The 11219-nt window shown below is 47.4% G+C and overlaps 1 protein-coding gene across 3 annotated transcripts in view, besides 1 other annotated feature; it reads left to right on the top strand.

Annotated features, from left to right (window-relative positions):
* HS1BP3 (HCLS1 binding protein 3) overlaps positions 1-11219 on the top strand; it is a 97238-nt gene that overhangs the window by 46452 nt on the left and 39567 nt on the right. The gene's annotated exons all lie outside the window — the stretch shown is intronic.
* Positions 4838-5782: an enhancer, noted in NCBI's record as "H3K27ac-H3K4me1 hESC enhancer chr2:20798625-20799569 (GRCh37/hg19 assembly coordinates)". NCBI's record gives its function as "activates a minimal SCP1, AML or CMV promoter by ChIP-STARR-seq in naive H9 embryonic stem cells {active_cell/tissue: H9 hESC(naive)}" and the evidence as "EXISTENCE:reporter gene assay evidence [ECO:0000049][PMID:30033119]".

The following is an 11219-nucleotide window of genomic DNA, read 5'->3' as shown; positions in this document are numbered from 1 at the left end:
TCTCTGTGCTCTCATCTATAAAAAGGGTAATCAATGTCTACTCCACAGATTTGTTGTTGCAATTCAGGGAGGTGCTCACGTGAAACATGAGCAGAGCCTGGCTCACTGGAGTGGCTCAGGACATGTCCTGGAATCCTCCAGAGAATTGGGCTGAGAGGCCACTGAGCCAGGCTCACCTATCCCTGGACCTCAGTCGACCTGTCTCTAACACGAGGAGGCCTGATGCTGACTTTCTGTAATCTCACGACAGAGAACTCCATGCCCAAGGCTGTCCCGGGGCAGTCTTTAAAAGCAGGCTCCTTATTCAGGGGCTGAGAGAAGCAGAATGTGGGGTGTAGACTAGAAAGCTACTGATTCTGCAGCTGAGGGGTGAATGACCACTGAAGTGTAGACAGCCTCTTAGACCATCCCCTAGGCTCCATGGGGAACAGGGACAAAAGAGGCATCCTCAGCTACACTGCAGCTCCTGCCTTCCAGAACCTCCCCTGAGTTTCTCAGCCCCTTAAGGTCTGATGAATTGTTATTTAAATATTTAAACATCATCAAGAGCACTTGTTAATTTCCAAAAAGGGAATCTGCAGGCCCCACTCATTTAGGATGTTGGGCACCTTCTGAGGGCAGGGGTCTTGGAGGGCCCTCTGGGAAGCAGCGGACTGGGCTCCTACCGAGCTCCAGCACTCTCTAGACCCAGTGCAGGCCCACTGGGCATCAGGCATAGCTGTCTCCATTTTAGGGAGATGAAGCGATTTGTGTGAGGAGCTTACATAGCTGGGAAGCGGCTGAGCCGGAGTTAGAACCCATCTCTGGAGGGCCATGTAGGACCTGGGTTCCCATTAACAGTCTACTGAGTAGGCCAAGCATGGTGGCTTCCATTATGTTTTTTAAAACGGCTTCATTGAGATATAATTCATGTACCATATAATTCACTCACTTAAGGTGTAAATTCAATAGTTGTATTACATGCATAGAGTTGTACAAATACTACCACAATCAATTTTATATTTTCATCACTTCTAAAAGAAACTCTATACTCCTTAGCCATCAAACCCCAATCTCTCTATCCCCTCAACGTTAAGCAATAACTAATCTACTTTCTATCTCTCTCTATTTGCCCATTCTGGACATTTTATATATATGGGATAATGTAATATGTGGATTTTTGGTAATTCTGACTTCTTTCGCCTAGCATACTGCTTTCAAGGGTCATCCATGTTGCAGCATGTATCAGGAGACCTGGGCCATTCCTTTCTAGGGCTGGATAACAATTCTTTGCATAGCTTTACCGCATTTTGTTTATCCATTCATTAGTTAATAAGCATTTGGCTTTTTTTCACCTTTTGGCTATTGTGAATAATGTTGCTGTGAACATTCATGTGTAGTTTTGGTGTGGACCTATGTTTCTATTTCTCTTGGACATATACCTAACAGTAGAATTGCTGGATTATATGGTGATTCTATGTTTAACTTTTTGAGGAACTTCCAGACTGTTTTCTAAAGTAATTGTGCCATCTTATATTCCCACCAGCATGATATGAAGGTTCCCATTTCTCCACCTCCTCCCTAACAATTGTTAATATCTGTCTTTTTAATGATAGCCATCCTCATGAATGTGAAGTGACAGCTCATGGTGGTTTTGATTTGTATCTGATGACTAATGATGTTGAGCATCTTTTTTGGTGCTTGTTATTAGCCATTTGTATATCTTGTTTGGAGAAATGTCTATCTAGATCTTTTGCCCATCTTTATATTGTGTTGTCTTTTTATTATTGAGTTTTCGAAAAGAGCTTCTTATGTATTCCCGATAAACCTTATCAGATATATAATTTGCAAATATTTTCTCCCATTCTGTGGGCTGTATTTTCACTTTCTTGATAGTGGCCTTTGAAGCACAAAACTTTAAAATTTTGATGAACTCCAATTTATCTAGTTTTTCCTCATGGGCTTGTGCTTTTGGTGTCATCGACTTTCCAGTTTTTAAAAACAATATTTAACATAGACAAATTTGACCATACCAAAACAGTCATCAGATTTCAAAAACTGTATACAAAATGAGCAATCATAAGGATTTGAGAATCTGTTAAAGAGCTATTGATGTTTCGGTTTTTTTCAAGCTCACACTTTAAAAACTTCTTTTTTATACTCCACTTTATTCCAAAAATAATTTGATGCCACTTTTGAAAATTTGAATAAGACAAAAAGATACCATAAATAAACAATTCTGAGCAAAATGAAAGTATGCATCTTGCGATGAAACCAAAAGTAAATTCCGTGCATAGAATTACATTCACAGAGCTTCCCAGTGACCAAAGCAAAGAGGGAAATACAGTTATTTATTAATATAAGATTTGCAGGCATATGACATAAAAGTGTATCTGTAGTTTAGAAGAGACGTTGCTCTTTCTGGCACAGAGGCCAGAAATAAATTCCCCCCGCATGGCTCCTCCTAAAAGGAGAATGTGTTTGAATTTATCAGCTAGAAGAGAGCAGGTCTTGCTCTCTTCTAGCTGATAAATTCAAACACATGGATGACATCCCTGATAACCTATCTCCTCACAGCCCAATTTCCTTTCCTTTGTATTTCCAAACCCACATCTTTCTGTCTTCCTGCCAACAGTTTCGCCACACACAAAATTGTCCTTGCTGTAGTAATCTTTCAAAAAACACAAATATGAGCCCCTTGCTTCCTTTCTTGAAATTCTTCAATAACTCCCAACTGCCCTGATAAAATCCAAACTCTTCAACATAACTTACAAGATATGAGAATGGCGTGAACCTGGAAGGCGGAGCTTGCAGTGAGCCGAGATCACGCCACTGCACTCCAGCCTGGGCAACAGAGCAAGACTCCGTCTCAAAAAAAAAAAAAAAAAAAAAAAAAAGAAGACACACTTGAAAACTGGGTGATTTATAAAGGAAAGAGGTTTAATGGACTCCCAGTTCCACATGGCTGGGGAGGCCTCACAATCATGGTGGAAGACAAAGGAAGAGCAAAGGGACCTCTTACATGGCGGCAGGCAAGAGCGACTTGTGCAGGAAAATTTCCGTTTATAAAATCATCAGGTCTCGTGAAACTTACAACCACGAGAACAGCACAGGAAAGACCCGCCCCCATGATTCAATTACCTCCCACCGGGTCCCTCCCACAGCATGTGGGAATTATGGTAACTACAATTCAAGATGAGATATGGGTGGGGTCACAGCCAAACGATATCAAACCCTCACTCAGATCTGCGTTCTCTTAGTTTATTCACACTTCTAACAAGCATGTGTGTTTTTCCAAGATGACGGCAGATTAGAAGCACCAAATTAAAGTGGCAAAGAGTTTCTACAGAATACTGATACTGATGGTTTATCAGTAGTGAAAGAAACTGGAAAATTATAAAAAGCAAGTCTAGATACTCAGTAAGGGAAGTAATCTGAAGCTGCTTAGTGCAGATACAAACTCTTCTGCTTAGCCAATAGCCCTGAAGATCAGCATATTATGTGATATGGTAGAATCTGCACCTTTCACAATGATGAAGCTAATGATAAACTATTTTCATTGTACTCAATTGCAAGAAGGCATGAGAATATGCAGTACTGTTTAGAATAATTTTCTTATACACTGGTCAATGTAAAACAAATTTTTAAGTATTGGTACTTGAATTAATAAAATATTAGTTAAAAAGAAAGTTTAACTCTCCGAAACAGTGCCCTCTTGTGGGTTTCATTAACTGAAGTTTGACTCCAGAGGGAAAGAATGACCACTCCACCCTAGAATTCTCTGCACCAATTTTTAAAATAATAAAAAAATTTTGAAATACAAGAGAAATATATATTTTTTTATAAAAATACAGATAAACCAAAGGAAGAAAAAGAATTACACACAATCTCATTTTTCAAAGATAACCACTCACATTTTAAAAGATTTTTCTTCTATATTTTCACTGTCTATACATATGGATATGAGTTTTTAAACAAAAATGTTGCTTATTTACAGTTTTTGTGAACTTGTTTCCACATATCATGAGGATTTTAATGTAGAAAATACAATCAGCATCATCATTTGAATGTCCACAATCCGTGCTATTTTATGGTTGGTCTGTGTGTTACGCAAATGTCTGTTGAACATTTGCGTTATTTCAGATTTTTCTGCTCCTGCTCTGATTCTGGGCCCCAGGGTGACTTTGTGGCTGATGCTGGACCCATTCTCTTTGGTTTGCTGGGTTCTCTGTGACTTGAAAGCATGATACATCTCCTGCTAGGGCCGTTGCGACTTGTAATAATGGCGCTTTGTGGTTTAACGAGAACAGGGCTCTATTAATCCCTCTTTGTCTGACCTCAGCCAACCTCGCCCTCAGTGGAAGCAGGATTCTTAGGCCCTTGGGACCCTATTGAGCTGTTGTCATAGTGATTGGTGCCAGGGGCAGGGTCACTGGGCCAGTGTCCCTAACCAGACCATCTCTGTCTTAATGACACCCGTAGATCACAGTTGTTCATTCCCAAGCGTGGCAAGAAAAGGGACTAACAGGCTACAAGGCCAGCATTTGGTCCGACTGCACAGAGGCTGGGCTGTTGAAGCTTTCTGAGGCCTGGCATTACTCTCCCCAGGAAGGAAGCTTAACTGATTTGGCCAAAGAGCCCCCAGGGGTCCCCCTGGGACCACTCTCAGGCCCCTGAGGGCTCGCATCTGGAATCAGCTCTCACTGCTGTAACTAAGGCTCACAAGGAACGCAGGCAGACAGGCTGCCTGTGACTTCACAGAGTGGAACTTCTTGTCACTTGATGGCAGGGCTGAATGAACCTTGGAGATTATCAGGCCTGTCTCCCTGGGGAACAGATGGGGAAACTGAGGCACAGGAGCTGGACCTGATGCTGGCATATCAAGGGCACAGTGCTAATCAGGCAGTCCCTCCCTACCTCCCACCTCCAAAGAAGAACATGTTTGGAGTCTCTTGTAAAACAATTGTTATTTTTACTGTAAGCTTTTAAAGTCAGATCTTTAAAAAAAAAAAAACAGAGTGTGTGTGTGTGTGTGTGTGTGTGTGTGTGTGTGTGTGTTACACAAGAAGTCCATGAATACATTTTCCTTGAAAATAAAATGGAACATGGCAGATAAGGCTCAAAGCCCCTTTGACCTCTGTCCACAATCCCAGCCTGCCTCCAGAGATAGCATCCCGGTTTGGTGTGTATCCAAATCTGATTTTAAAATACCTAAAGCTCATTTGCCTGCCTTGGGTGGCCTGGACAATTGGGGTGACACAGGCCACGTCCCTAACTGGGCACGAGCCCAGGCAGCTCGCTGGGACAGCGTGCACCCGTTGGCTGCCTGTGGCTGGCAGGATTGCCAACATGGGATGTACTTCCCTGCTCCAGGGCAGGGGAAGGGAGGAAGAGTGGGACCTGTGGGTACTGCTGTGTCCTCACTCCCCCTGGGGCCAGGACAGCTCCTCCACCTTCTTGTCCCAGTTCCTGTTCCAGAATCCCAACAGCCCCAGCTACTGGCCCGGATTGGTTGCCGGGAGTCTGAAAAGAATAGACACGTTTCCACCAGGATTTAGCAGTATCTCCAGCAGGCTACAGGCCCCCAGGGGCGGTGCTGAGGTTGTGGGCTCCTGCGCTTGTCTCTGGTTTCCACCGACCTCACCCCATTCCCCCCACTCCCCACTGCCCTCCCTAGCATCTGTCCCTTCCCTCCCGGGACCCCTTGTCAGGGAGAAGCTCAGCTGACCATCTCAGTACTCCCTGGAGAAGAAAGGGGGAAGTTTACAAGAAGAATATAAAGAGCCCAATTATATATTCAAAGAAGTACCGGCCGGGCGCGGTGGCTCACGCCTGTAATCCCAGCACTTTGGGAGGCCGAGGCGGGCGGATCACGAGGTCAGGAGATCGAGACCATCCCGGCTAAAACAGTGAAACCCCGTCTCTACTAAAAATACAAAAAATTAGCCGGGCGTAGTGGCGGGCGCCTGTAGTCCCAGCTACTCGGGAGGCTGAGGCAGGAGAATGGCGTGAACCCGGGAGGCGGAGCTTGCAGTGAGCCGAGATCCCGCCACTGCACTCCAGCCTGGGCGACAGAGCGAGACTCCGTCTCAAAAAAAAAAAAAAAAAAAAAAAAAAAAAAAAAAAAAGAAGTACCGGTCCCTGGCCTGTTAGGAACCGGGCTGCACAGCAGAAGGTGAGCAGCAGGCCAGTAAAGCTTCATCTGTATTTACAGCCACTCCCCATTGCTGGCACTACTGCCTGAGCTTCACCTCCTGTCAGATCAGCGGCAGCATTAGATTCTCACAGGAGTGCGAGCCCCATTGTGCATGCGAGCCCTTGCTCATTCAAGAGATCTTGGTTGTGTGCTCCTTATGAGAATCTAATGCCTGACGATCTATCACTGTCTCTCATCCCCTGAAGGTGGGACCATCTAGTTGCAGGCAAACAAGCTCAGGGCTCCCACTGATTCTACATTATGGTGAGTTAGATCATTATTTCATTATATATTACAACGTAATAATAATAGAAATAAAGTGCACCAAAAATGTAATGTGCTTGAGTCATCCCGAAACCATCCCTCCATCTCCAGTTTGTGGAAAAATTGTCTTCCGATTTTTGTCTTCCCTGATGCCAAAAAGGTTAGGGACCGCTGAAGTAGGGGACCTGACCCCCAACTTTTAGCTGCCTGACCTACCCAGCCAGGATTGTCCCTCCTCACCAGGGCTGAGCCTGGCTCTAGGCACTGAGGCAGGGAGTCTTCGATAAGGAGGCAGCCGGCTCCCCTGCCAGGCCCTCTCATCACAGCCCAGAAAGGATCATAAAAATCTTGAAAACAACAGCAAGGGTTTACGGGCTGGGAAACAGGAAGCAGGTCTTCTTTCCTTGAATCCTCCTAGTCCCATTCTATGAGAACCATCTATGATCTCAGTGCAAACTATCTAGATTTCCATAATAAATGCATAGATACCATATTCAGCACTTTCCAGGGTTGTTTTTCTTTAATCAGCAAGAATTTTTTTTTTTTCTCAAGCAAAAAATCTTCCCCAGAGCGTTGACATGCATGGCATATAAAATCAGTAAGAGGGGAGGTTTCTCCATGTGGAGAATTCTGCTTGGCAGAGGTACTCTAATGTTCTGTGGAATCGCTGAGGTTTCTACAGCACAGTTTGATCACCTCTCATGGAAATCAACTTCCTTTTCTTAGAGCTGAGAACGCCAACGTGGAAGGTGAAGGCTTGCTGAAACCCCCAGCAGGTCGGTGGTAGAACCAGGAAGGCCCATGTCACCTGGAGCTCCGTCCAGGGCTCTAAAACCAGTACAAGGCCTTCCTTAGCCTGAAATGATAAATTTAGACAAAATCAGAGCTATGAGGACACTTTGCTAGTCCAAGGCTGCCAGGGGAATGGTGTTGCCGTGGTTACTCTGGCCCAGGAAGTGACCTTTTGCTCCAAAGTCCTAGAACAGAGGCCTGCTTCCTGCTGGGCTCAGAGAGAAGGTCAATAAGGGGATGGCCAGGACTGTGGCCAAGGGCCTCATGCTGCTTCTGGCCTGTAAACTGCATGTTCTGAGGCCATGTCATAAACACAGAGGGGACCCTGGGGCCCTGGAGTGGCGGCCTGTGTCTCCCCTGGGCCTCCCTTTTAAGGAGGGATTAGAGATGACTCCAGCTCAGGCCTTTTATGTGGCCTTAATGGGAACCATGGCTGGATCCTAAACACATTCAAGTTGCCCAAATCCTACCCACAGAGTCCAGGGAGCCATGGCACCTGCTGGCTGCCACGGGTCTGCAGTGAAAGATTCTGATGGGGTACCTATGAGGGTCCAGCCCAGGAAATGCAGAGGGGGAAAAACACCAGGCCCTGAAGGAGCTGAGATTTGTGTGTAGGACAAACGGAGAAATGGGTGCTTCAGACACAGCAGGAGGAAGGCTGTGATGGGTAGAAGGACAGAGTACAGCACAGAAAGGGGAAGAAGGGACCACTCTGCTCACATGTATGTGGGTGGGGGGAAGAGATAAAAGTAATTCTCTTAGTCCTTTCAAGCTGCTATAAAAACTGCCATAGACTGGGTGATTATAAACAACAGCAATGTATAGCTCACAGTTCTGGAGGCTGAGAAGTCCAAGGTCAAGGCATCAGTTGATTTGGTGCCTGGTGAGGGCCTGCTGTCTGGTTCACAGATTGCTGTCTTCTCACCATGTCCTCACATGTGAAAGTGGCAAGGCAGCTCCCTGGAGCCTCTTTTATAAGGTCACTAATCCTATTCATGAGAGCTTTACCCTCATGACCTAATCCCTGCTCTAAGGCCTCACCTTCTAATACCAGCGCCTTGGGGGTTTAGGTTTGAGCAGATGAATAGAATCTTGGAGGAACACAAATATTCAGATAGTAGAATAAGCTTCCTGGAGGAGGCAGTATCCTAGCTGGGGTCTTGAAGGAGTTTTGACAAAGCAGCTAGTATCAAAATACTAAAGGGCCAAGGCAGGAGCGAGAGGTATCTGGTACACCCAGAGGTGGGATTAGAGCAGTGTCACGGGGAAGGAGGGGAGAGTTGTGAGAGCTTTAGAAATTTGAGTCACATCCTGTGGGTCAGCGGTTTTCAAGCTACTGTGCCCTAAGGAGCCCTAGGTTTGATGAAAAGACCTCAGGGCAAGAGGTAAGCTCTGGACCACTCTGCTTTACATTTCAGGACTCCACACAGGATCACCTTTGAACTAAGGTCCCAGTGATTAAGAAAGAACGTGGGAAACTGTCATCAGCCATGCGGGAAGCTCTTGTTGGTTAGTCTAAGGCTCTGTCTCCTGGTATGACCTTTTTTTTGGCCACTTGGAGGTGTCAGGGGCCCCAAGAGGCCTGCTCCCCTGATGGGCCGTGATGGATGGACGTGACCATCACCTCTGCCCACTTCCCTGCCCAGCAGGGGACTGTGGAGACAACTCCAGCCAGCGGCTTCCTTGGCTTTGAGGCTAGTTGTCTGTGGTCTCATTTGCATTTATGTCACGGAAGAGTCAGCAGGAACCAAAGATAGACCTAGGGAAGAAACCAGCCATGTCGAGGAAGGGCCGCAGCACAGAGCAGGCTGCAGTCCCTTCGCAGAGAGTCAGGCAGGCAGGCACGGGCTGTGGCCAGAATCACTGGTTGCTACAGGATCAGCAAGGCCCAGCCGAAACCCTCCCTCCTCCAGGAAGCCCTCCTGCTGCCTCAGGGGAACTCCCTCTTTCTGCGCCTCTGTGCCTCTGTTAGAGCAGGAGTCACTGTGAGGAGGAGGAGGATGATAGGGTTCTGCTCCTGGTGAGTGCCTGGTGAGGAATTTTCTATGCATGACCTGGACCCCCAGGGCACCTTTGTACAAATTAGAAAAGGATCCCCCTTCCCGTGGGTAGACACAGCTCTGTCCCAGGGTAGTTACAGCTGTGTCCCAGGGTAGACACAGCTCTGTTCCCGGGCCATGGCGTTTCTGTGGGTCACAGCCATCTGTCCAGACTGAAAAGGAGACAGCTGCTGTGATCTCTGCCCACAGCTGGGAAACTGAGGCCATGTCACATTAGGGCACCTTCTCCCAAGGCTGCCGAGGCTCTCACTCCCTGCTCCAGCTGTGCAGGCTACAAGAATGTCTCCCTCATTCAGGGAAGTGGCATGCCGGGCTCTGTCTATCCCGAGATGCTATGATCTGAGTGTTTTTTTACTCCCGACAACGTGTATGTTGAAATTCTCTCCAGCAAGGTGAGGGTATGGGAGGTGGGGCCTTTGGAAGAGATTAGGGCATAGGACAGAGCCCTCCTGTTTGGGATTAATGCCCTTATAAAAGAGACCTGAGGAAAACCCCCTTGCCCCTTCCATCCATGAAGATGCAGCAAGACAGCCCCCTCCAGGAATCAGAGAGCCAGCCCTCCCAGACACCGAAGCTGCTGACACCTTGATCTGGAACTTTCAGCCTCCAGAACTGTGAGAAATACATGTCTGCCATTTCTAAGCCACCCCATCCACGGTATTTTGTTGTAGCAGCCTGAATGGATTGAGATAGGGGACCTCACTTCCAGCGAGTCTCAGAGGGCACTTGGCTAGGCCCAGCTAGAGGCTGGCCTTGTTGCTGCAAATCCTGAGCCAGAGGACAGCCTCTTCTACCAAGCACTATGGCCACCTGAGAGACAAAACACAGAGCAGGGCCCTAGCCTAACTGCCCTGCAACTTCAACCCCAGCATAGGGAAGGAGCCATCTCTCCATTGGGTCATTGATGCCTTCCCAGCAGGCAGGCCATGCCAGCTGCCTCAATGCACCAAAGTAAGCTCAAAAAGGATTTGTGATGCCATCAGCCACTCATTTCAGACCCATTCACCTCCTCCAGGATCTTTTCTCTATCATCAGGCATCCATAGACTCACGTGGACGTGTTGCCCAAAGCCCACTCACAAAGCATCTAACCCAGCCTTAGCACACCTGGGCCCCCACTCTCCCCACACCCATGGCAGATGTCACTAATGGATCACTGCACTTCTTCCTGTTAAGCCTGGATTGAACCTCAGAATCCTTCTCAACCCAGTGGCACAGCCAGAGCCATCTGAGTTGGAATGTGTAAGATGCAAGCTATTGTAGCCATCCCCGATGGGTCGATGCCCAGATTTAAAGATGACAAAACTGGGGACCAGCAACAGGAAGGAAATTGTGCCAGTCACAGAGCCCATCAGCAGCAGAGACATGGCAAGAAGCCCACGTCCCTCTTCTGAAATGGAGGCTGTGGTGGTTTTCATCAGGGAAGTTTTAGGGGACTCTTCACAGTTAGTGTTGCAGGCCCTGGGGCAGCCCTTGTACATTCCTTCAATGCCGGCCCTGGAGGACCATATCCCAGGCTTGAGTGCATCAAAAGGACCCACTCTTCCATCCCCGTGGCGGCTCCAGGGACCAGCAGGGGCAGCAGGGCAGGCCTGACCTTCATACACAGTTCCCTGCACACACTCGGCTAACTGTGACCAGGGTGAGAGCGGGCGCAGTGGGGGAAGGTTGTGGGAGGAAGGGTCAAGGGCCTCTGGTGACTCATGATGTGGGCTCAGGGAGTGTTGGCTGAGCCAACATGTCTGGCTCGAAAAAGAGGATCACCAGAGGCTGAAGTGCGGGGGCCTCATGAGAACCGAGGTACACCAGGAGCTCAGAGGTGGGGCCAGCATGTTCTGGGGGTGTCTACAAAGGCTTCCGGCAGCTCAGAGTTCAGCCTGAGCAAACTCTTGCTCATTCATTCACTCATTCATTCAGCCAAGGTCAACT

This window comes from Homo sapiens, chromosome 2 (assembly GCF_000001405.40).
Source record: "Homo sapiens chromosome 2, GRCh38.p14 Primary Assembly".
Taxonomy (NCBI): Eukaryota; Metazoa; Chordata; class Mammalia; order Primates; family Hominidae; genus Homo; species Homo sapiens.
Note: the sequence above shows the minus strand (reverse complement) of the source record. Positions and strands in the feature narration are given on the sequence as shown.